At 37.3% G+C, this 27,700-nt stretch overlaps 1 protein-coding gene across 7 annotated transcripts in view; it reads left to right on the top strand.

Annotated features, from left to right (window-relative positions):
- The window catches only part of TEX11 (testis expressed 11), a 397,485-nt gene that overhangs the window by 307,066 nt on the left and 62,719 nt on the right, over positions 1-27,700 (top strand). For all 7 annotated transcript variants that reach the window (XM_017029649.1, XM_017029650.1, XM_017029651.2 and 4 more), the window contains one exon: positions 9,823-9,895. In XM_017029649.1, coding sequence (XP_016885138.1) covers positions 9,823-9,895 — 73 coding nt within the window. The remainder of the gene's footprint in view (positions 1-9,822; positions 9,896-27,700) is intronic.

The following is a 27,700-nucleotide window of genomic DNA, read 5'->3' as shown; positions in this document are numbered from 1 at the left end:
TTCACTTGTTTATCTGCTGACCTTCCCTCCACTATTGTCCTATGACCCTGCCAAATCCCCCTCTGCGAGAAACACCCAAGAATGATCAATAAAAAAAAAAAAAAAAAAAAAGAATGATGCTGGCCTCATAAAATGAGTTAGGGAGGATTCCCTCTTTTTCTATTGATTGGAATAGTTTCAGAAGGTATGGTACCAGTTCCTCCTTGTACCTCTGGTAGAATTCGGCTGTGAATCCATCTGGTCCTGGACTCTTTTTGGTTGGTAAGCTATTGATTATTGCCACAATTTCAGATCCTGTTATTGGTCTATTCAGAGATTCAACTTCTTCCTGGTTTAGTCTTGGGAGAGTGTATGTGTCAAGGAATTTATCCATTTCTTCTAGATTTTCTAGTTTATTTGCGTAGAGGTGTTTGTAGTATTCTCTGATGGTAGTTTGTATTTCTGTGGGATCGGTGGTGATATCCCCTTTATCATTTTTTATTGCATCTATTTGATTCTTCTCTCTTTTTTTCTTTATTAGTCTTGCTAGTGGTCTATCAATTTTGTTGATCCTTTCAAAAAACCAGCTCCTGGATTCATTAATTTTTTGAAGGGTTTTTTGTGTCTCTATTTCCTTCAGTTCTGCTCTGATTTTAGTTATTTCTTGCCTTCTGCTAGCTTTTGAATGTGTTTGCTCTTGCTTTTCTAGTTCTTTTAATTGTGATGTTAGGGTGTCAATTTTGGATCTTTCCTGCTTTCTCTTGTGGGCATTTAGTGCTATAAATTTCCCTCTACACACTGCTTTGAATGCGTCCCAGAGATTCTGGTATGTTGTGTCTTTGTTCTCGTTGGTTTCAAAGAACATCTTTATTTCTGCCTTCATTTCGTTATGTACCTAGTAGTCATTCAGGAGCAGGTTGTTCAGTTTCCATGTAGTTGAGCGGTTTTGAGTGAGATTCTTAATCCTGAGTTCTAGTTTGATTGCACTGTGGTCTGAGAGATAGTTTGTTATAATTTGTGTTCTTTTACATTTGCTGAGGAGAGCTTTACTTCCAAGTATGTGGTCAATTTTGGAATAGGTGTGGTGTGGTGCTGAAAAGAATGTATATTCTGTTGATTTGGGGTGGAGAGTTCTGTAGATGTCTATTAGGTCCTCTTGGTGCAAAGCTGAGTTCAATTCCTGGGTATCCTTATTGACATTCTGTCTCATTGATCTGTCTAATGTTGATGGTGGGAAGTTAAAGTCTCCCATTATTAATGTGTGGGAGTCTAAGTCTCTTTGTAGGTCACTCAGGACTTGCTTTATGAATCTGGGTGCTCCTGTATTGGGTGCATATATATCCAATACGAAGACATTTATGCAGCCAAAAAACACACGAAAAAATGTTCATCATCACTGGCCATCAGAGAAATGCAAATCAAAACCACAATGACATACCATCTCACACCAGTTAGAATGGCAATCGTTAAAAAGTCAGGAAACAACAGGTGCTGGAGAGGATGTGGAGAAATAGGAACACTTTTACACTGTTGGTTGGACTGTAAACTAGTTCAACCATTGTGGAAGTCAGTGTGGCAATTCCTCAGGGATCTAGAACTAGAAATACCATTTGACCCAGCAATCCCATTACTGGGTATATACCCAAAGGACTATAAATCATGCTGCTATAAATACACATGCACACGTATGTTTATTGAGGCATTATTCACAATAGCAAAGGCTAGGAACCAACCCAAATGTCCAACAATGATAGACTGGATTAAGAAAATGTGGCACATATACACCATGGAATACTATGCAGCCATAAAAAATGATGAGTTCATGTCCTTTGTAGGGACATGGATGAAATTGGAAATCATCATTCTCAGTAAACTATCGCAAGAACAGAAAACCAAACACCGCATATTCTCACTCATAGGTGGGTATTGAACAATGAGATCACATGGACACAGGAAGGGGAACATCACACTCTGGGGACTGTTGTGGGGTGGGGGGAGGGGGAGGGATAGCATTGAGAGGTATACCTAATGCTAGATGACGAGTTAGTGGGTGCAGCGCACCAGCATGGCACATGTATACATATGTAACTAACCTGCACAATGTGCACATGTACCCTAAAACTTAAAGTATAATAATAAAAAAAAAAGAATACTTGTTGATTTCTGTTGTATACATCTGCTCCCTGTTCTCTAAACCCTCATAAGTGGGAATATTTCCAAATAAGTAGCTGATGAAGGAATATAGATGGACTGCATAGTTTTATCAACATTGCCTCTACCCTTCTGAGTATGAGTTAGGAGAAATTGAGGGATAGGTAAAAAACATATTCTAATTGTAATTTGTCAAGGAACCACACCTTCTTCCTAGAGCAGGAGTGGGTAAACTACTGCCAGCTGGCCAAATCAGGCCCCTGGGGGGTTGTAGTTGAAAATAAAGAAAATAAAGAAAAATATTTCTTTATTTTATTTATTTATTTCTTTATTTTCTTTATTTCTTTTCTTTTATTTGTATATGGCTAGGAAAGCCTAAAATATTTACTGTCTGGCCTTTTGTACAAAAAGTGTCCTGATCCCTATCCTTGATTATATTTTAACAGACTTATTGAGGCATAATTCACATACCTTATAATTCACCCACTTAGGTATACAATTTATTGGTTTTTAGAATATTCTTAGAATTGTGCAACTGTTGATACAATCTAATTTTAGAACATTTTTATCACCCTAAAAAGAAACCCCTTACCCACTTAGCAATCACTTCTCATTGCCTGCCACCAGCACTAAGCAACCATGTACTTTCTGTCTATATAGGCTTGCCTATTCCAGATATTTCGTATAAATGTCATCATCATCATATTTTACACGAAAGTCAAATGTTTTTTGATGTGTAGTCTTTTCTGACTGGCTCCTTGTATAAATGCCTGAATAACATTTTCAAGGTTCTTTGTGTTGTAGCATGTATCAGTGTTTCATTTCTTTTTATGGCTGAATTATATTCCATTGTATAAATATATCACATTTTTAAAATCCATTCATCCATTGATGGACATTTGGGTTGTTTCCAATTTTCAGCTCTTGTGAATAATGCCGTGATGAACAATTTATGTACAAATTTTTGCATGGAAATCTGTTTTCATTTCTTTCAATATGAAATATACCTAGGATTGGTATTGCTGGGTCATACAGTAACTCTATGTTTCATCATTTGAGGAATGCTGGAGTTTTTCAAAGCACCTGCACCATTTTACATTCCAACCAGGACTGAATGAGGATTCCAATTTCTCCACCTCCTTGCCACCACTTGTTATTATATCTTTTTAATTATAGCCGTCCTAGTGAATATAAATTGATACCTCATTGTGGTTTTGATGTGCATTTCCATTATGACTAATGATGTTGAGAATCTTTTCGTGTGTTTATTGGCCATTTGTATATCTTCTTTGGAAAATATCTATTGAAATCTTTTTGCATTTATCTATTTATTTAGAGATGGAGTCTTGTTCTGTCACCCAAGCTGGAGTGCAGTGGCACGATCTCAGCTCACTGCAATCTCTGCCTCCCAGGTTCAAGTGATTCTCCTGCCTCAGCCTCCCAAGTAGCTGGGACTACAGCCACACACCACTGTGCCCAGCTAATTTTTGTATTTTTGTAGAGACAGGGTTTTGCCATGTTGGCCAGGTTGGTCTCAAACTCCTTATCTCAACTGATCCCCCCACCTCGGCCTTCCAAAGTGCTTCATGCTCATTTTAAATTAGCCTATTTGTCTTTTTACCACTGAGTTGTAATAATTCTTTATATATTCTTTATACTATACTCTTATCAAATACATGATTTGCAATTATTTTCTCCTGTTCTGTGGTTTGTCTTTTCCATTTCTTGCTAGTGCCCTTTGAAATACATTTTTAATTTTGATGATATCCATTTTATTTATTTTGTTATCATATCTAAGACCATTTTCTAATCCAAAGTCATGAAGGTTTACCTCAATGTTTTCTTGTAAGGTTTTTTATATTTTCAGCTCTTACATGTAGATCTGTGATCCATTTTGAGTTAATTTTTGTGTATGGTGTGAGATAGGGGTCCAACTTTATTGTTTTGCATTTGAATATCCATTTGTCCTAGTACTATTTGTTGAAGACTGTTTTTTCCCCTTGAATTATCTTCGTGCCATTGTTGAAAATCACTTGACCACAAATGAGAAGGTTTATTCTCAATTCTATTCCATTGACATCTATGTCTATCCTCAGGGCAATACCACATTGCCTTGATAATTATAGCTTTATGTAGTACATTTTGAAATAGGGAGGTGTTAGTCCCCCCTCATTGTTCTTCTTTTTAAAGATTGTTCTGGCTATTCTAGGTCCCTGGAATTTCCATTAGGACCAACTTGTTGATTTCTGCAAAAAAGCCAGCTGTGATTTTGATAGGGGTTGCATTGAAACTGTAAATCAGTTTAGGGAGAATATTAAAGCCTCTGATTCATGAACATGGAATATCTTTCCATTTATTTAGGTTTTTCACTTCTTTCAACAATGTTTTGTGGTTTTCAGATTATAAATTTTTCACTACTTTTTGTAGTCTCTTCAGATTTTGTATTTCCTCTTGAGTCAGTTTTAGTAGTTTATCTTTCTAGAAATTTATCCATTACATCTAAGTTATAGAATTTGTTGGTTTACAGTTGTTCATAGTATTCCCTTATAGTCCTCTTTATTTTTGTAAGGTCAGTAGTGATACCTCCTCTTTTACTCCTAATTTTAGTTATTTGTGTCTTCTCTCTTTTTGTTCTTGGTCAGTATAGACAAAAGTATATCAATTTGTTGTTCTTTTCGAGAACAACTTTTGGTTTCATTTTTTCTATTGCATTTCTAGTCTCTATTTCATTAATTCCCACTCAAATCTTCCTTCTGCTTGCTTACAGTTCAATTTGCTTTGTTTTTACAGCTTCTTAAGGTAAAACTTGGAGTTACTGATTTGAGATATTTCTTTTTTTTAATATCAACTTTTGCAGCTATAAATTTCCCTTCAAGAACTGCATTAAACTGCATCCCATACATTTTGGTATGTTGTATTTTTTTCATTCATCTCAAAATATTTTCTAATCTTAATTATGTTTTCCTGTTTGACCCATTTATTATTTAGGAATCTGTTGTTTAATTTTCACATATTTGTGAATTTCCCAAATTGTTTTCTCTTGCTGATTTTAAATTTTATTCCACTGTGGTCAGAGTACATACTTTGTGACTTCAATTATTTTAAATTTATTTGAAGTTTGTGTTATGGCCTAGCATGTCAGCTATCCTAGAGAAAGTGCCATGCATATGTGCTTGAGAAGAATGTACATTCTACTTGGGTTAGTGAAATGTTTTATGGCTATTAGGTCTAGTAGGTTGATAGTGTTGTTCAAGTGTTCTATATCCTTGATGGTTTTCTGCCTACTTATTCTATTCATTACTTAAAGTGGGCTATTGAAGTCTCCAACTAATAAAAGTTGAAGTATCTATTTCTTTCTTCAATTCTACCCAGTTTTGCTTTATATTTTTGGGGCTCTGTTGTTAGGTCATATATGTTTATAATTGCTATACATTTCCAATGGATTGGCCCTTTTAACATTATAAAATTTTCCTCTTTGTTCCTAGTAATTTTTTTTTTGTTTTAGAGTCTATTTTTGTCTTATTTTAGTAGTGTCACCCTAACATTCTTATGGTCAATGTTTCCATAACATAACTTTTTCCATCCTTTCACAATCAACCTATTTATTTGTCTCTGAACCTAATATGTGTCTCTTGTAGACAGAATGTAGTTGGGTCATCTTTGTTTCAATATGATAATCTTTGTCTTTTATTGGGTTGTTTAATGCACTCACATTTAATGTTACTATTTTTATGGTTGAATTTACTTATGCCACTTTACTTTTTGGTTTCTATATATCTCATGTATTTTTTATTCCTGATTTTCTCCTTTACTCTTTTCTTTTGCATTAAGTGAATGTTTTCTAATATAACATTTTTGTTCTTTTAATGATTTTTACACAATATTTGAGTTATTTTCTTAGTGGTCACTCTGGGGCTTACAATATAGATCTTAATTTATCAGAATCTACATCAGATTATAAACCCAATTTCAGTGAGATATAGAAATGCTATTCCTATTAACTCTGTTCTCTCCTCTTTTTTTATGCTATTTTGTTATACACATTACATCTATATATGCTCCAAACACAACAATACATCTTATAGTATCACTTTATAGAATTTTAAGTATTTTAAAGAAACTCAGAGAAGAAGCCGGGTGTGGTAGCTCACACCTGTAAACCTAGCACTTTGGGAGGCCGAGGTGGGCAGATCACTTGAGGTCAGGAGTTCAAAATCAGCCTGGCCAACATGGTGAAACCCCATCTCTACTAAAAATACACACAAAATTAGCTGGGCATGGTGGCAGGTGCCTATAATCCCAGCTACTCAGGAGGCTAAGGCAGGAGAATCACTTGAATCCGGCAGGCAGAGGTTGCAGTGAGCCAAGATCGCGCCATTGCACTCCAGCCCGGGCAACAAGAGCGAAACTCTGTCTCAAAAATAAAGAAACTTAGAGAAGAAAGTATATATTATGGTTTCTTATATTAAGCATCTTACTTACCTTTTATGCTTTTCCTCATTTTTTCCTGTAGATTAGAGTTACTATATGGTCTCTGGATTAGTCTGTTCTCTCACACACTATGAAGAAATACCTGAGACTGGGTAATTCATAAAGGAAAGCGGTTTAATTGACTCATAGTTCCACATGGATGGGGAGGCCTCAGGAAACTTAGAATCATGATGGAAGGCACCTCTTCACAGGGTAGCAGGAAAGAGAATGAAAGCCGAGTGAAGTGGGAAGCCACTTACAGAACCATCAGATCTTGTGAGAATTTACTATCACGAGAATAGCATGGGGGAAACTGCCCCCATGATTCAATTACCTCCCACTGGGTCCCTCGCACCACACATGGGGATTATGGGAACTACAATTCAAGGTGAGATTTGTGTGGGGACACAGCCAAACCATATCAGTCTCATTTTCTTACTCCAAAACAACTTTCTTCCCACCTGCCTCTTGTGCTGTTATTGTCAAATATATTTCATTTCTATATATCAGAGGCCCAACAATACAAATATATATTCACATATATGTGTATATATATTGTTTTTTTAAAACAAGAGAAGAAGAAATATACATTTATATTAATACTATCTTTTATAATTATATAATTAATGCTACCAGTGCTCTTTGTTTTTTCATCTGGATTCAAATTACTGCCTGGCATTACTTGCTTTTCAGCCTGAAAGATTGTCTCTTAGCAACGAATTCTCTCAGCTCTTATTTATCCAGGGACATCTTTATTTCACCTTCTCTGAATAATAGTTTTGCTAGGTATTAGATTATTAGTAGACTTTTATTTTTCTTTGATCACTTTGGATATGTTGTCCCACTGCCTTCTGGCCTTTATTGTTTTTAATGAGAAATCAGCTATTAATCTTAATCACCCGTACATGTGGCGAGTCATGTTTCTCTTTGCTAGTTTCAAATTTTTCTTTGTCTTTTACCATTTTGTAATGTATCTTGGTTGGATATCTTTGTGTTTCTTGATCCCACCTAGAGTTTTTTGGGCTTCTTGAGTGTGTAGATTATTGTTTTTCATCAAAATTAGGGAATTTTCAGCCATTTGTTTAAAATATTTTTTCTCTTTTTCGCTCCTTTTCTTTTGGTAATCCCATTATGGGTATATTGGTGTGCCTAATGGTGTCCCATGTTTTACTGAGGCTTGGTTTATTTTTTTTCTTTTTCATTCTGCTCTCATATTTTGTAATCTCTGCTAATCTATCTTCATGTTTGCTGATTGCTTCCTCTGCTAAGTCAAACCTAATGTTGATACCCTCTAGTGAGTTTTAAAATTTCATTTATTGTAGTTTTCAACTCCAGAATTTCCATCTGATTTTTATAATTTTTATCCTTTTATTGAGATTCATTTTTGATGAACATTTTTATCATACCTTCTTTCTTTAAGTGTGGTTTCATTTAGTATTTGAATATATTTAAAATAGCTGCTTTGAATTCTGTGTCTATTAAGTTTAACATCTGGGCTTTTTCAAAATCAGTTCCTGTTACCTGCTTTTTTCCTATGTAGAAGTCACACTTTCCTGTCTCTTTGCATATCTTGTAATTTTCTGTTGAAAACTGGACGTTTTAGATAATATGTTGTAGTATCTTTGGGTACTGATCTCCCCATGGGGTTTGTGGATGTTAATGTTTGCTTCTTTATTTGTTTAGTGAATTAGCTATAGGGAAATAGTGAAGTCTATTTTCCCCATGGTACATAGACTCTGATGTCACTCTTTGGAAGGCACAGTCTTTGCCTGTGCAAAGACTGCTTATACCTCCCTCTGGTAAAGGATGACAGTGATTTTAGGAGAGTTCTTTATTACTCTTTTCCTGATCTGACCTCTTAAGCTTCTAGATGACCTTCTTCTATTGGTAGCACATCCAGCTGTTAGTCTTGACTAATTGCTAGGTGATTACTGTGTGTGTGCGTGTGCGTGTGTGTGTGTGTGTGTGTGTGTGTGTGTGTGTGTGTGTTAAAATGCTCTTGTGCATAAATTGCCCCACAGCCTGTTCCAATTAAAAGAAGACCCCTTTGAAGGAATAGAAATCTTCTTAGCTGTCTCTTCACATACTTCTCTCTATAAACTTCTAGTTGGTCTATTATTTTCTTCTTAATATCATTGAGCTATCAATCTCCTCTTAATTGCTCACTACCAAAATCTCCATGATTTTTTACAGTGTCCTTAGACTTGAACTTCCCCACGCTCTGTTCCAATTAAAGTCATTTCCTTTAGGGAGTGCTATAGATCTGCCTCTCCTACTGGGCAGAAACTGAACCACTGTTTTGGAGCTAGGGGCAGGGACAGTGGCCCACTTCTGTCAGAGTGACAATCCAATTGTATGAGTGGAAGACTGGACAAGAGTTGTAGTCCCTGATAGTCTTGGCTTGCTGCTCCCAGCATGGACACTCTATCCTATAAGCAGCTGAGATGAGAGCTGAGATGAGAGAGCTGAGATGAGATGAGATTGAGACCCAGGATCCTGAGCTTGCAATGCCTGGGATAGAGCTTTTGCCTTACAAATAGAGGCTGGGTAGAGAAAGAGAGTTCTAGGCCTCTGAGCTATGCTTGTTTATAATAGAGCTTCTACAATAGAGATCTGGGGGGATGAGAAGTGCCAGCATTCTGGCCCTTCAGAGAATCCCTAGCCCAGAAACTGGAGGTAGAGAGAGTCCTATCTTCTTGGCCACACCCACCTAAAGTAGTGCTTACATCACACTGAGCTGGCGGATGGTGAGTGAATCATAGCTTAAATGTCACAGGCTCTTACTGTTCTTACTAAGACTTAGTAGATTTCCTGGAATAAATGTTTCTTCATTTTCTGTATACCCTCAGGGCAATTTCCTGAGCCTTTACATGATTATGTTTTCTAATTTTCACTAGTTATGATGATTGTTTTGCTGAGGAGAGGATCCATGGAGCTCCTCACACAACCATTCTAGAAGTGTTTCTCTTCTGTTCTAGATTGTTAAAGAAATTGATAATGCTCAAGATTTTCTATTTAATCCTCATTTTTCTGAAACAGTAAGGAAATGTGCAAATAGAGGCTAATATTTCTATATAAACTCCAAAATGTTCAGTTTAAACTATCATTTTTCTATTAATTTATTTTTACCTGTTTTTAATGAAAATGATATGAGATTATATTAATTTGCTTAAAGTTCTTTTTTGTTGGGACTAATTAACTTGTTGCACTGTTGCCAAACAGACCATGTTCCTGAGTCGTGCACTTGAGGAGATCCAGACATGCAATGACATCCATAATTTCCTGAAACAAACAGGTACAGTAGGAACTGGAAGTTTGGTAACACAGTTTGAAAGGAGCTTAGAATCGAATAAACAAGTCTTTTGTCACCAGAAATTTGTGCCACTGCAGTACTTGATAACCAGTCAAATGTTTTTTTTTTCTGTTGTTTTGTTTGTTTTTTCGAGTCAGGGTCTCACTGTGTCACCCAGGCTGGAGCGCGGTGATGTGATCTTGGCTCACTGCAACCTCTGCCTTCTGGGTTCAAGCAATTTTCCCACCTCAGCCTCCTGAGTAGCTGGGAATACAGGCATGCACTACAACGCCTGGCTAAACTTTTCTATTTTTTGGTAGATATAGGGTTTCACCATGTTGGCCAGGCTGGTCTCGAACTCCTGACCTCAAGTGATTTGCCCACCTCGGCCTCCCAAAGTACTGGGATTACAGGTGTGAGCCACCACTCCCAGCCCAGATGATTCTTTAAGAGCTGATTTTTTCCCCACTCTATATCAGTATTGACTCTGTAACACACTACTTAGATTAAGAATATTTTTTACTTTGCTTTATATGAAAGTATAGCATTAAATATTTTATTATTGTTTAACATAATATTATCAATCTTAGATCACTAGATTTAATGTCTAATTTAATCAAGCTTTAACTTTGACTAAATGTAGGCTAGTCTTCACAATCAAGATAACAGATACTGCTAATATTTTGTTATAAAATTATCTAAATAGGCTGCATGCAGTGGCTCACGCCTGTAATCCCAGCACTTTGGGAGGCCGAGGCGGACAGATCACCTGAGATTAGGAGTTTGAGGCCAGCCTGACCAACACGGAGAAAGCCCGTCTCTACCAAAAATACAAAGTTAGCCAGGCATGGTGGCACATGCCTGTAATCCCAGCTACTCAGGAGGCTGAGGCATCCTTGAATCTCTTGAACCCAGGAGGCAGGGGTTGCAGTGAGCCAAGATCACGCCATTGCACTCCAGCCTGGGCAACAAGAGCGAAACTCTGTCTCAAAATAAATAAATAAATACATAAATACACAAATAAATAAATAAATAAAATAATCTAAACAGTAGTAAGCCTTTGGAAGTTATATAATATCTTGATTCTATTTCCTGATTAAATATGGTATTGGCTTTTAGGTTTAGACTGAAGTTTTTACAATGTGTTTTTCTGTCCCTGTTTCAGAATTTGTTAAAATCAATGGATATTCAATTGAATTACATGCTTTTTCAGACTTTATGGAGATAGTCATATTTTTCTCTTTTGAACTATTAATATATTGAGTTATAATAATAGATTTTATAAAATTAAGTCATCATTTCATTCCTGGAATAAACCCTATTTGGTCATAGTATGTTATTATTTTAATATATTGATGAATTCTGTTTTCCAACATTTAGAAATTATTGGTCTGTCACTTTGTTTTTGCTTATGTGTTATGTCTTTGGCAGTTTGAGTATCAAATTATAGGAATTATAAGGAAGAACATAAACATATGAAATTTAATTTACTTCTCGTAGTCTATGACAGTCACTTAAATGAATAAAAACAACAAAAAGTAAAGATAGAGAAAACCCAAATAAAATACTTATTATAGAAGATTTAATGGGAGTAAAACTCTGTAGCCTGAAAATATACTGTGTATCCTGAGAACAGAAAACATATCATCTTTTCGTGTGCCTTTTGAAGTTTTACAAAATTGATGTCAAGGAAGACCTGAATAAATTCTAAGACATGTAAATAAAACAGACAACATCGTCTGATCACAATGCAAAAACTAGAGATTAACATTGGAATCATTCTTTTGAAATACCCTACCACCTGGACATTTTTTAAAAACCCAAACTACAGTATACCTAGGCTCTAATGGTAATGAAAATAACTCATAGTAGAATTTAAAGTGCTAAAGCAGTGCTCAGAGCAAATTCATTGCCTCCGTGACTTTTCTTTAAGCAAGTATGCAGTGGCTCACGCCTGTAATCCCAGTACTTTGGGAGGCCGAGGTGGGTGGATCACATGAGGCCAGGAATTCGAGACCACCCTGCCAACATGACGAAACCCCATCTCTACTGAAAATACAAAAACCAGCCAAATATGGTGGCATGTGCCCGTAATCCCAGCTACTTGGGAGCCTGAGACACGAGAATCGCTTGAACCCCGCAGGCGGAGTTTGCAGTAAGCCTAGATTGTCCACTGCACTCCAGCCTGGGCAGCACAGCAAGACACTGTTTCCAAAAAAATAAAAAATAAAAAAGTATGTCAGAATGCTAACTGTCCACCAAAAAAAATGAATTTCTTCTTTTTTAGGAATACAACTAGGCTATAGATAGAGTAGATAGAGAGATATAGTGAGATAGAGATAAATGCCTCTCTATATATACATATATATAGTCTAAGTATATTTTTATACACACAGCTAGACTATATACATATATATATGTATCTATATAGTTTATATATAGACTTCAGGCAATCTTCAGAGTTTTTTTAACTGTCTATACATTATAGAGATTTAATGGCTGTAGTTAATTAAGGTGACTAATATCAGAATGAAGGAAAGTAAAATTCCCTATTGGAAAACAGTACATTATTTCATGAAAGTTTTGTGGTAAAATATATATAACATAAAATATGCTATTTTGACCATTTTTAAGTGTACAGTTGTACAACCATTACCACTATCTATTTTTAAATTTTTTCATCATCCCAAACAGAAACTCTGTATCCATTAAAGAATAATTTCCCCATTCCCCCTTTCTCCAGCCCCTGGTAACCTCTCATATGCTTACTGCCTCTATGAATTTGCCTATTCTAGATATTTCTTTCTTTTTTTTTTTTTTTGAGTTGGGGTTTTGGTCTGTTGCTTAGGATGGAGTGCAGTGGCACAATCATAGCTCACTGCAGCCTTGAACCCTGCGCTCAAGCTATCCTCCCACCTTGACCTCCTTAAGTGCTGTGATTACAGGTGTGAACCACCATGCCCAACCCTAGATATTTCCTTTAAGTGAATCATACAATATTTGTCTTTTTGTAACTGGCTTATTTCACTTAGCATAATGTATTCAAGATTCGTCCATGTCATAGCATGTGTCAAAATTCCCTTCCATTTTAAGGCTGAATTCTATTCCATCATATGGTGTATTAGTCCATTTTCATACTGCTGTAAAGAACTGCCTGAGACTGGGTAATTTATAAAGGAAAGAGGTTTAATTGACTCACAGTTCAGCATGGCTGGGGAGGCCTTAGGAAACTTAGAATCATGGCAGAAGGCGAAGGGGAAGCAAGGCACCTTCTTCACAAGGTGATGGGAAGGAGAAGTGCCGAGTGAAGGGGAAGAGTCCCTTATAAAACCATCAGATCTCATGAGAACTCACTATCACGAGAAGGGCAAGAGGGAAATTGCCCTTGTGATTCAATCACCTCCACCCAATCTCTCCCTTAATACATGGGAATTATGGGGATTACAATTCAAGAAGAGATTTGGGTGGAGACACAAAGCCTAACCATATGGTTCCACCCCGGACCCTCCCAAATCTCATGTGCCTTTCACATTTCAAAACCAATCATGCCTTCCCAACAGTCCCCCAAAGTCTTAATTCATTCCAGCATTAACTCATAAGTCCATGTTCAAAGTCTCATCTGAGACAAGGCAAGTCCCTTCCACCTGTAAGCCTATAACAGCAAAACCAAGTTAGTTACTTCCTAGATAAAATGGGGGTACAGATATTGGGTAAATACACCCATTCCAAATGGGAGAAATTGGCCAAAACAAAGGGGCTACAGGCCCCAAGCAAATCTGAAATCCAGCAGGGCATCAAATCTTAAAGCTCCAAAATGATCTCCTTTGACTCCATGTCTCACATACAGGTCATGCTGATGCAAGAGGTGGGTTCCCATCGTCTTGGGCAGCTCTGCCCCTGTGGCTTTGCAGGGTACAGCCTCCCTCTTGGTTGCTTTCACGGGCTGGCATTGAGTGTCTGTGGCTTTTCTGGGTGCACAGTGCAAGCTGTCAGTGGATCTACCATTCTGGGGTCTGGAGGATGGTGGCCCTCTTCTTACAGCTCCACCAGGCAGTGCCCCAGTGGGGACTCTGTGTGGGGGCTCCAACCCCACATTTCCCTTCCTCACTACCCTAGCAGAGGTTCTCCATGAGGACTCCACCCCTGCAGCAAACTTCTCCACGGACACCCATTTGTTTCCATACATCCTCTGAAATCTAGGTAGAAGTTCCCAAACCTCAATTCTTGACTTCTGTGCACCCACAGGCACAACACCACATGAAAGCCACCAAGGCTTGGGGCTTGCACCCTTTGAAGCAATGGCCTGAGCTGTATGTTGGCCCCTTTTAGCCATGGCTAGGATGTGGCTAGAAGTCACAGTTCCAAGAGTACACAAAGCAGAGAAGCCCTGGGCCTGGCCCAGGAAACCATTTTTCCCTCCTAGGCCTCCAGACCTGTGATGGGAGGAGCTGCCTTGAAGGTCTCTGACGTGCCCTGGAGACATTTTCCCTATTGTCTTTGTGATTAACATTGGGCTCCTCATTACTTATGCAAATATCTGCAGCCAGCTTGAATTTCTCCCCAGAAAATGGGTTTCTCTCTTCAGTTGCATTGTCAGGCTGAAAATTTTCCAAACTTTTATGCTCTGCTTCCCTTTTAAACATAAGTTCCAATTTCAGATCGTCTCTCTCAAGTTCATAGTTCCAGAGGTCTCTAGGGCAGAGGCAAAATGCCACCAGTCTCTTTGCTAAAGCATAGCAAGAGTGACCTTTGCTCCAGTTCCCAAGAAGTTCCTCATCTCCATGTGAGATTATGTCAGCCTGGGCTTCACTGTTCATATCACTATAAGCATTTTGGCCAAAACCATTCAACAAGTCTCTAGGAAGTTCCAAACTTTCCCAGATCTTCCTGTCTTCTAAACCCTCCAAAGTGTTCCAACCTCTTACCTGTCACCCAGTTCCAAAGTCACTTCCACATTTTTGGGTCTCTTTATAGCAGTACCTCACTCTACTGGCACCAATTTACTGTATTAGTCCATTCTCGCCATTTTACATTCCCACCAGGAAATGTATCTTAATTTCTCCACCTCCTTGCCAACACTTGTTGTTTTCCATTTTTTATTATTATAGCTATTCTAGTAGGTTAAATAGTATCTCATGGTTTTGATTAGTATTTCTCTGATGACTAAAGATGTTGAGCATCTTTTCATGTGCTTATTGGTTATTTGTATTTCATCTTTGAGGGAGGGAAAGGACTTGTCTATTCAAGTTCTTTGCCCATATTTAAAATTGGGTTGTTTTTTGGTGTTGCGTTTTAGGATTTCTTTATATATTCTGTATATTAAACCCTTATCAGGTATATGATTTGCAAATATTTTCTCCTGCATGTTTTCTTTTCACTTTCTTGATAATGTCCTTTGATGTAAAAAAGTTTTTAACTTTGATGAAGTCCAATTTATCTACCTTTTCTTTTGTTGCTTGTGCTTTCAGTGTCATGTCAAAGAATCCATTGCCAAATCCAAAGTCATGAAGATTTATTCCTATAAATTCTTCTAAGAGTTTTATGGTTTTAGCTTATATGTTTGGGTAATTGATCCATTTTGAGTTCATTTTTATATTCAATGGTGTAGTAGGCATCCAACTTCATTCTTTTGCCTGTGGAAATCCAGTTGCCACCATGCCATTTGTTGAAGAGACTATTATTTTTTGTTTGTTTGTTTGTTTTGAGACGGAGTTTTGCTTGTTGCCCAGGCTGGAGTGCAATGGCACAACCTTGGCTCACTACAACCTCCTCCTCCCTGGTTCAAGTGATTCTTCTGCCTCAGCCTCCCAAGTAGCTGGGATTACAGGCATGCACCACCATGCCTGGCTAATTTTGTATTTTTAGTAGAGGTAGGGTTTCACCATGTTGGTCAGGCTGGTCTCGAACTCCTGACCTCAGGTGATCCACCCACCTCGGCCTCCCAAAGTGCTGGGATTACAGGTGTAAGCCACCACACCCGGCCTGAAGAGACTATTCTTTGTCCCATATAATGGTCTTGACACCCTTGTTGAAAATCAGTCAGCCATAGATGTATGGGTTTATTTCTTAACTCTCAGTTCTATTCTATTGGTCTATATGTCTATCTGTATGGTAGTACCACACTGTTTTATTACTGTAGCTTTCTAATAAGCTTTGAAACAGAGAAGTGTTGGCCCTCCAACTTTGTTATTTTTCAAGATTCATTTTGAACTATTGGGGCACCTTACAATTCCATATAAATTTGAGAATTGACTTTTTCATTTCTGTAAAAAGAGGCTGGTGGAATTTTGATAGGGATCGCTTAGCGTGATATAAGTTTTGAAATGTTGACATCTTAACAATATTAAGTCTTCCAATCCATAAATGTAGGCTGTCTTTTCATTTATTTAGGTCTTCTTTAATGTCTTTCATCAGTGTGTTATAGTAATCATTGTACAGATCTTCCACCTTCTTGGCTAAATTCATTCTTTTGAATACTATTGTAAATGAATTGTTTTCTTAATTTCCTCTTTAGATTGTTCATTGCTGATGTATAGAAACACAATTGATCTTTGCATGTTCATCTTGTACCTGCAACTTTGCCGAATTTGTAGCTTTCTTGTGGTTTCTTTGGGATTTTCTATACGTAGGGTCATGTCATCTGTGAACAGTGAGAGTTACACTTCTTTCTTTTTACTTTGGATGCCTTTTGTTTCTCTTTGTTGCCTAATTTATCTGGCTAAAACTTCCCGTACAATGTTGAATAGCAAACTTCCTGTACAATGTTGAATAGCGGTAGTGAGAGAGGGCATCCTTGTCTTGTTCCTGATCTTAGGGCTAAGCTTCCACCTTTGAGTATAATGTTAACTGTGGAATTTTTTTTAATGCCCTTTATCAGATTGAGGCTATTCCCTTCCATTCCTAGTTTATCTTGAAAATATTTTGGATTTCATCACATGATTTTTCTGCATCAATGAATATGACCTTTTTTCCTTTTTTCTATTGATGTGGTATATTACATTAATTGATTTACTTATGTTGAACTTGCGTTCTTGGGATAAATCACACCTAATCAGATTGTATAATCCTTTAATATGCTGTAAGATTTGGTTTGCTAGTATTTTCATGGGGTTTTTTTAATTGATATCCATAAAGAATATTGGTTTGTAATTTTCTTTTCTTGTGATGTCTACATTTGGCTTTAGTATCAGGGTAATGCTGGCTTCATAGAAGAAGTTAGGAAGTATTCCCTCCTCTTCCATTATTTGGAAGAGTTTGAGAGAACTGCTGTTTATTCTTCTTTAAATGTTTGGAAGAATTCACCAGTGAAGCCATCTGGTCCTAGACTTCTGTTTATTGGGAGGTTTTAAATTACTTATTTAATCTCTTTACTTGTTATAGGTCTGTTGAGATTTTCTATTTCTTCTAAAGTCAATTTAGTAATTTGTGTGCTTTTAGTAATTTGTCATTTTTTTTTTTTTTTTTGAGACGGAGTCTCGCTCTGTCGCCCAGGCCAGACTGCGGACTGCAGTGGCGTAATCTCGGCTCACTGCAAGTTCCGCTTCCCGGGTTCACGCCATTCTCCTGCCTCAGCCTCCCGAGTAGCTGGGACTACAGGCGCCCGCCACCGCGCCCGGCTAATTTTTTTTTTGTATTTTTAGTAGAGACGGGGTTTCACCTTGTTAGCCAGGATGGTCTCGATCTCCTGACCTCATGATCCACCCGCCTCGGCCTCCCAAAGTGCTGGGATTACAGGCGTGAGCCACCGCGCCCGGCCAGGAATTTGTCATTTTATCTAAGTTATCTAATTTTTTGATGTACAGTAGTTCATAGTAATCTCTATTTGTGATTCAATTTTTGGAAGGTAAAATCAAGAGTTGTTAGAGGCAAATTGGGCCTTGATTAAAATAGGATCTGGTAGTTCTGTTTTTAGTTCTTTGAGAAATCTTCACACTGTTGTCCATGGAAGCTCTACTGATTTACATTCCCACCAGCAGTGTAAAGCATTTCCTTTTCTCTGCATCCTTGCCAACATCGTTATTTTTTGACATTTTAATAATGGACATCCTGACTGGTGTAAGATGATATGTCATTGTGGTTTTAATTTGCATTTTTCTGATGACTTTTCAATCCAGCAATGCCATTACTAGGTATCTACCCAAAGGAAAAGAAATTATATATTAAAAAGATACCAGCACCCATATATTTATTGCAGCACTATTCACAGTTGCAATGATATGGAGTCAACCTACGTATCCATCAATGGAAGATTGGACAAAGAAAATGTGGAATGAAGATACACACAATTAAATAGTACTCAGCCATAAAAATAGAATGAAATCAGGTCATTTGCAGTAACGTGGATGAAACTGGAGGCCATTATCTTAAGTGAAACAACTCAGAACCAGAACGTCAAATACTGCATGTTCTCACTCATAAGTGGGAGCTAAATAAAGTATGCACATGGACATAGAGTGTGGAATAATGGACACTGGAGACTAGGAAGGGTGAGATGGTGGGAGGGGGTTAAAGGATGAGAAATTACTTAATAGGTACAATGTACATTATTTGGGTGATGGTTACAGTAAATACCCAGACTTCACTACTACTTAATATATCCATGTAACAAAACTGAACTTCTGTCCTTTAAATTTATATAAATTAAAAATAAAAATAAATAAATAGGATCATGAGTGCCCAATAAACAATACTTGGTTACCTATTTAAACAAAGTGACAATCAAACATTTAAAAATAAACATAGGGCTTTGGAAGGCCGAGGTGGGTGGATCACCTGAAGTCAGGAGTTCAAGACCAGCCTGGCCAACATGGTGAAACCCCGTATCTACTAAAAATACAAAAATTAGCTCGGTGTGGTGGTGCACGCCTGTAATCCCAGCTACTCGGGAGGCTGAGGTAGGAGAATTGCTTGAACCTGGGAGGTGGAGATTGCAGTGAGCCAAGATTGTGCCACTGCACTCCAGCCTGGGAGACAGAGTGAGATTCCATCACATAAATAAATAAATAAATAAATAAATAAATAAATAAATAAATGTACATAGGAGGTAACACAATTCTAACATAGGAGGTAACACAATTCTAAAGAACTTTAGCTCTTTGACAAGTGAGGAACCTTTGTTCTTTGTTAGTTTGCCACTAAATAATCAAAAATAAAGAAAAAGACAACATAAAGCTCAGAGAATTATTCTTGTAAAACACAGAGTCTGCTATCTAGGCAGATTACACAGAAGATGAAGAATAACTTTTGCATTGTGGTGAAGGCATTAATCAATAAATTAAGGAAGCAAGCCCATCAAAATTTAGATAAGGTTGCTACAATTTTAACACATTGCATAGCTTTATTTCAGACCTAGGTTTAAACCAGGGCAAAAAAATTTAACTTTCCCAGTTTGTCCTTCATTATGCTCTTTGATGTTCTGGAACAAACTGACCATCTTTCAGAGCATCTGCTAGGTCAAAACTATTTTTATTATAATACTAAGATGTGTAGTTTTTCAGGGGCAGTATGATGTGTGATATTGTAATAGATTGAATGCAGAAGCAGATAGTAGAGTCTAATTATTTCTATTAAGTTGGGCATTAGGGAACTTTGCAAAAATGTGAAGCAATCTTCTTATTTTTAAAATAAAATTATTTTTATTAAAATTGACATCAACATGCAACAGATTCATCTCAAATCAATTCAATCAATAAATATATTTAATTTTTTCTGTTTTAATTTATAATATGGTAAGTATTGATAGTTACAACATACATGCGGAAAACCTCTTTGGAAGTCCTTAGTAATATTTCAGAGTACGAAGAGGTCCTGAGAACAGAAAGTTTGAGAACTACTGTCTTAGAAACAAACTACTTTTCCCTTTAAAACAGAAGCATATACCCATTTGTCACTATTGCTCATAATATAATCTCAACCACTTGTTTTAATTTTAACTTTTAACCAAAATAATATCTATTTCAAAGAGAAAATTTGAGGGGTGCAATTGAGAACTATCTCTCACAAACATTATAGCAGATTAACAGAGCTCACGAACACATGTAGCACTTTCAATGTACACACCCATCCCTTTTAAAGAGGAAAATGAACACAACCATTAACATGACCCAAAGATATTGCCTCTTTATAGCATATAAAAATAAGAAGCAACAGTATATAGGACCAGGCGCGGTGGCTTATGCCTGTAATCCCAACACTTTGGGAGGCCGAGGTGGGTGGATCACGAGGTCAGGGGATCAAGACTAGCCTGACCAACATGGTGAAACCCCATCTCTACTAAAAATACAAAAAATTAGCCGGGTGTGGTGGTACATGCCTATAGTCCCAGCTACTTGGGAGGCTGTGCTAGGAGAATTACTTGAACCCAGCAGGCGGAGGTTGCAGTGAGCCGAGATCACGCCACTGCACTCCAGCCTGGGTGACAGAGCGAGACTCCATCTTAAAAAAAAAAAAAAAAAAAAAAGCAACAGTATATAAACTTAAAACTGCTTAGTGAGGCCAAGGTAGGGAGATTGCTTGAGCTCAGGAGTTCAAGACCAGCCTGGGCAACATAGGAAGACCCTGTCTCTATAAATAATTTTTTAAAGAATTAACCAGGAATAGTGGCACATGCTTATACTCCCAGCTACTCGGGAGGCTGTGGCAGGAGGATTGCCTGAGCCTGGAAGGCTGTGGCTGCAGTGAGCCATGATTGTGCCACCGCACTCCAGCCTGGGTGACAGAGTGAGACCCTGTCTCAAAAAAACAAAACAAAACAAAAACAAAAACAAAAAACTGTGCTTAGTAATCAATAAGCAGTCTATATTAATTAAAATTTATGTAGGTATCCAATGATTATCCATTAATGAACTCAATTTAATATCAAACCAGTGTTTAAGTTAATTAGATTATCTTAAATCTAACATACCACAGAATGTAATTACTGCTGAAATAAAAGTTTGTCAGAACAGGGATTCAATTTCAGTTGAACACAAATTTACATCTTTCATAATCTTAAATATTACATATAAGTAACATTATCTTATTTGATTAGTAAATCTGTATACATTTAGGAAAAACAGACCGAAGTAAAATAAAATGTATGCTTGTTTTATACATTACATAAATAAATCACCAAAAATGACATAACTCTTTTAAATAAAAATTATTTTTAATGTTTTATTTTTAATTTTTGTAGGTACATTATAAGTGTATCCATTTATTGTTACATGAGATATTTTGATACAGGCATGCCATGCGTGATAATCACATTAGGGTACATGAAGTAGCCATCACATCAAACATTTATCCTTTGTGTTACAAACAATCCAATTATACTCTTTTAGTTATTTTAGAATGTACAATTAATACTGACTGTGGTCACCCTGTTAGGCTAGCAAACACTAGGTCTATTCATTCTTTCTATATTTTTTACCCATTACCCATCCTCACATTCTCCCCTACTATCTTTCCCAGCTTCTGGTAACCATCATTCTACTCTCTATTTGCATGAGTTCAGTTGGCTTAATTTTTAGCTTCCACAAATAAGTGAGAACATGCAAGGTTTGTCTTTCTATGCCTGGCTTATTTCACTTAACATAATGACCTCCAGTCCCATTCATATTGTTGCAAATGACTAGATCTCATTCTTTTTAATGGCTGAATAGTGCTCCATTGTGTATATGTACCACATTTTCTCTATCCATTCATCTGCTGATGGGCAGTTAGGTTGCTTCCAAATCTTGGCTATTGTGAATAGTGCTGCAATACATATGGGAGTGCAGATATCTCTTCAATATGCTGATTTCCTTTCTTTTGAGTGTATACCTAGGAGTGGGATTGGTGACTCTTCTCCACAGTGGTTGTACTAATTTATGTTCCCACCAGCAGTGTACAAGGGTTCCCTTTTTTCCATGTCATCGCCAGCATTTGTTTTTGCCTATCTTTTGGATATAAGCCATTTTAACTGGGATGAGATAATATCTCACTGTAGTTTTGGTTTGCATTTCTCTGATGATCAATGATGCGGAGCAACTTTTCAGTTGCCTGTTTGCCATTCATGTGTCTTCTTTTGAGAAATGTCTATTCAGATCCTTTGCTCATTTTAAAAATTAGATTACTAGATTTTTTCCTATAGAGTTGTTTGAGCTCTGTATATATATCTGCTTATTAATCTCTTGTCAGAGGGGTAGTTTGCAAATACTTTTTCCCATTCTGTGGATTGTCTCTTCAGTTTCTTTTTTGTTTTTTTTTTTTTTTGTTTTTTTTGTTTTTTTGTTTTTGAGACGGAGTCTTGCTCTGTCGCCCAGGCTGGAGTGCAGTGGTGCGATCTCGGCTTACTGTAAGCTCCGCCTCCTGGGTTCACCCACCATTCTCCTGCCTCAGCCTCCCGAGTAGCTGGGACTACAGGCGCCCGCCACCACACCCAGCTAATTTTTTTTTTTTTGTATTTTTAGTAGAGATGGGGTTTCACCGTGTTAGCCAGGATGGTCTCGATCTCCTGACCTCGTGATCCACCCACCTCCGCCTCCCAAAGTGCTGGGATTACAGGTGTGAGCCACCGCGCCCGGCCCAGTTTCTTGATTTAAACAAGAATTATTAAACAAATCTCATTTGCCAAAGATATACCTTAATTCTGGATTCTCAAAATGTTTGAGCTAGCAGAATTTTTTGTGAAAATATTTTTAGTTTAGCACATTTTAGTATTAAAAGTTCAACTTCTGGCTGGGCGCAGTAACCAGCACTTTGGGAGGCCAAGGCGGGTGGATCACCTGAGGTCAGGAGTTCGAGACCAGTCTGGCCAACATGGCGAAACCCTGTCTCTACTAAAAATACGAAAAATTAGCTGGGTGTGGTGGTGGGCGCCTGTAATCCCAGCTACTTGGAAGGCTGAGGCAGGAGAATTGCTCGAACCCGGGAGGCAGAGGTTGCAGTGAGCCAAGATCGTGCAATTGCACTCCAGTCTGGACAACAAGAGCAAAACTCTGTCTCAAAAAAAAAAAAAAAAAAAAAAAGAAGTTCAACTTCTTTTTTTCTTGGAGTTAAAAAAATATGTATGTAAGTTCTTATTTATGTCTATAAACCAATTAGAACAGAGCTCCTTTAATTTAGGAAACTTTATGATATAACTTATTAATACTCCCCAGAGATAGGAAAATATTTTACACTCACACAATGTGAGGTCAAAGCCTTTTTCAGTTGTAGACACATAGACATAGATAAAGCGATCTTATGAATTCTGATCTACAATTTCAGCTATAAGTTAAGAGTAAACACAGAAATATGCCAGTCCAGATATTACAGTGTTCACCTTCCCTGCGGGTGTGAAATTACTGATTAATTTAAGTTCAAAATGAACAAATAGAACAACAAAAAAGACAAATTCTCTGTTATTTCCCACCCATCAGTGACTAGATAAGTGACTAGATAATCCGTTAGTCCAATTACAAAGACCACCAAATGGTCAAACCATATAATCACATTCCCAGTCATTGCTGCTACCAAGGAAGAATATAACTTACTGACTATACACAAACCAGAAACTAAAACAAAACATAAACTCAATAGAAAAGAAAAAAGAAAGAAGCAGAGATTCAACAAATTTCTGCTGCCACTTTGGATTCAACCTGGAAGCCAAGAAAAGATTAATGTAAACAATCTAGGAGTTACATTTCTCCAGTAACACAATTTACCTGGCCCTGTCAAGTGTATCCATTGGGCATCTCAGTCAGTACTTTTAAGATATAACCTTGGCTGGGTGTGGTGGCTCACACCTGTAATCCCAGCACTTTGGGAGGCCAAGGCAGGCAGATCACCTGAGGTCAGGAGTTCGAGACCAGCTTGGCCAACTTGGTGAAACCCCATCTCTACTAAAAATACAAAAATTAGCTTGGCGTGGTGGTGGGTACCTGTAATCCCAGCTACTTGGTAGGCTGAAGCAGGAGAATCACTTGAACCCAGGAGGCGGAGGTTGCGGTGAGCAGAGATCCTGCCACTGCACTCCAACCTGGTGACAGAGTGAGACTGTCTCAAAAAAAAAAAAAGATATAATCATGACTCTCTTAGGAATATTAAATGAACACATCAAGGATTTTATTTAATTCATTAACTGATGAGGAAACCGAGAAGATGTTACAACCAATTTCAATTTGCATTTCATTTTGGTTGCTTGGTTTTTCCTGTTTTCTGTCTCTTACTGTTTATTCAGCGGTATCTTTTTTCCCTTTGCTGCTTCCACTTCCTTTTGCTGCTTCCAGTTTTACTTTTATTCCTGTGGTGGCTTTATTTTTTTACCTTCTTTGTCTCTGAAATAGCTCATATTCCATTTCCTTTTGTTGTGTACCAACTCTTCCCTGAGTTCTAGCATTTCTGTTTTATATTCTTGTTTTATAGAGATGACTACTTAATTAATATTACTGAATTTATGCTGATATGTTTAGTCACAATTTTAATCTGCATATGGCAACATTTCTCTGGTAAGAATTCTCCATCTGCCATTTTTTTTTTCTGTTTCTTCCATCCCATTTTCATGTAGTATCTTTGTGTATAAACTGTGCTGGAGTTGTTTGTTTTGTTTTGCTTTGCTTGATAACATCTTTAATTGCAATGAGGTCTCTTTAGACCTTCTACTTGCAGATGATACATGTGGAGAGGAGCTCAGGACCTGATCAAGGATAATAGAAATTTTTACTTAAGTTCTAAGGTTGTTGTGTATGTGAGTTCTTGTAGGCTCTACATCTTCTCAGCCAGTGGATATAGGCAGCTATGGGCTTCTCATAACAAAGACTCTTTCCTCCCCACTGCTTCACTGACCTGTTGCTCACTCTTTATTCTCTGCTTCTCAAAACCAAACTAAGGCCAGACGAGTTCCCTTTACCAGCCTCTAAACTCTTTTCTTGTTATTGTAGATAAAGGATTTGCACTTCAGGGTGTGCTCCTCCCCTTGGAGTGTTGTACTTTTGCTGACTTTTTCTGATTCTATTTTTATTTTTAAAACATATGTGTGTATGTGTACACAAATACCCTAGACTATAAGCTCCACAAGGACAGATACTGTGTCTGATTTTGCTTACCTTTGTATTGTGCGCCTAGCACATAATAGGTCTTCAGAATATGCACACATATATATATTCTTATAAAATGTGTGTATATGTATATATATTTATGAATGCATATTTCATCTATAAAGCCTTGGAAGGATACACACCAAACTTAACACTTGATAGCTCTTGGAACAAGTATTAGTGTGTTTAAGGGACTTTCACTTTTTATTTTGTTTTTTGTTTCTGCATTTGAATTTTTCAATGAATACATAGTACTTTAATAATTAAAATGAAAGATACATTTAGAAAAATTATTCTGACTTGTTAAAGGTTTGTTTCTTGAGATTTTGTATTTCCAATGAACTAATGCTTAAAATAATGAGCCCAGTATGTCAGTAATGTAAATAAATCATTAAGCTACCAACTGCAAATAGATAAATTGAGGGAAAGTACAAAGCCAGTGAATCATAAATTCTTGAGGGAAAATTGGAAAACGCCATCCTTTTAAAAATCTACTCCAAATCAGAGTTAATTAAGAGCTGTATAAACAGTGATTAAAATTTTAGTGCTATGGGAATTGGCTTTTACAAAAGGATTAACCCTGACATGCCATTATATTAGTGACCTAAGGAAAGCAGCTCACCACATTTATTCTGCAAAGTATTTATTAAATTCCTAAGGACTACTATGTATTGTGGAAATAAGGAAATGTATTACTGTCTCTGTCCCTAACAAATTTACAGCAAAGAAAGGTCAGAAACATAATCAATTATACATATATAAGGCAAAATGAAATAACTATACTAATAGGGATACAGAATATATGGGACCACAGAGGAAGAAATGATCTATTCCAAAAGGTGATATTTGAACTTACTCTTCAAGAATAAATAGAATTTTAATGGTAGGAATCAAGTGAACAGAAGCCAGGAGTAATACAGGAGAACATTGTTAGTTTGGGGATTATCTCTTATTCAGGGGTTATATAGTGGGAGATGAGTCCATGTCTTAGTCTGTTTCTGCTGCTGTAACAAAACACCTCATGCAGACCGGGTAACTTACAAAAGAGAAAAATTTTTTTTTCTCACATTTCTGGAGGCTGGGAAGTCTACGGTCAAGGATCCAGAAGGTTCAGTTTTCTGGTGAGGGCTGCTTTCTGATTGCAAGATGATACCTTGTTGCTGCATCCTCCAGAGGGGAGAAACACTGTGTCTTCACAGGGAGGAAAGTGGAAGGGCAAGAAAAGTTAGTGCTGTGTGGAAGCCTCTTTTTTAAGGGCCATAAGGGCTATCTGTAACCCTGTTCATGAGGGAGGAGCCCTCTGGGTCTAATAAGCTATTAAAGGTTCCACCTCTTATCCTATCACATTGGCCATTAAGTTTCAACATCTGAATTTTGGAGGGGACACATTCAAACCACAGTAGGCTGAAAGTAGTGTGATTTGTGATGTGCCCATTCTCAATAACAAATTAGGCCACTAGTATCACCTAGTTCCAAGCTATCTCATGTCTCACTTGGACCACTGCAATAGCTTCCCAAGTGTCCTCTCTGCTGCACTTCTTGCCCTCCTAATAAATTCAATAGCCACACAGCAGCCAGAGTATTTTAACATAAGTCAGTTCATGTCAGTCTCCTTGCACTTCCCATTTAAATGGATTTAAAATAAAATCCCAAGTCCTTACCATAATCTACAAGGCCATAGATAATCCGGTCCTTAGATACCTTCCTCGCCACCTCTCCTGCCACTCTGCCTCATAGCTCCATGTACTCTAGCCCTACTATGTCTCGATAACACCTTGTACTTCCCTGCTTCTGGGCCTTTGTATTTGCCCTTTCCTTTGCATTGGACACTCTTGTCCTAGATATTCATATGCCTTGCTCCCCAACTTGCTCAAGTTTTACCCCCTCAGAGACCACACCCTTTCAAAAATAGCAACTTTCAATACTATTTAACCCCTTAACCTGTGTGTTGACTACTTGACATATTCTATGTTGCTTATTGTTTGTCTCCCTAAATAGAATCCAAGTTCCATGCAGGCAGAAAAGTTGTCTGTCTTGTTCATTCTTTATCCATACCTCCTAAAGTTTTGCCTGGCATATAATAGGGCTCAATAAATATTTATTAAATGAAATTCTGCTATAACACCAGAAATTATATCATTAGAGAGTCATTTATTTTAGTCTTAGAGTGTTTTGATCTTAGAGAACCCTCTGCAAAGATCCTTGGGAGAGCTCACAATTTAGTCATTATCAGCGTATACTCTGGGAGAGGAACATTTAGAAAAAAGTACTTAATGGAGATTGAACTTGGGATTTAGAGCAGAGAAGGGCAGGTTTCCAGGGGTGAAAAAGGAAATTTAAGGGGAAGTTGGGTTTGTACCAAAGATGACTTTGCTTATAGTGAGAAGATACTCAAACCTTTCTTACTTGAGGAAGCTCACAGCTTCTGAATCTCTCTTTCTGGCTGTGAAAAGAAATTTCCTCTTTTGGGTCTCCCTTGAAGATTATCATTTTTGGATGTTGCTAAGAGCATCCTTGGAGTCAGAGTCTCTATATATAGCAAATCATCAAATGTTAGGGCTAGAAGTAATCTTGGTGATTTGGTTTCTTAAAACTATTTATTTTATAACATGAGTTAAACATTTATCACAAAAACAGGAAGATAGAGAAAAGGCTTTAGTTTTTGTAGGTCATTGCAAGGAAGAATTTCGCTTATCTCCAGTGCTATAATTTTGACTTTGGTATAAAGTATTCATCAAGTGTCATCATCGAAAGTATTAGTGGTTATGAC

Source organism: Homo sapiens, chromosome X (genome assembly GCF_000001405.40).
Source record: "Homo sapiens chromosome X, GRCh38.p14 Primary Assembly".
Lineage (NCBI taxonomy): Eukaryota > Metazoa > Chordata > Mammalia > Primates > Hominidae > Homo > Homo sapiens.
Note: the sequence above shows the minus strand (reverse complement) of the source record. Positions and strands in the feature narration are given on the sequence as shown.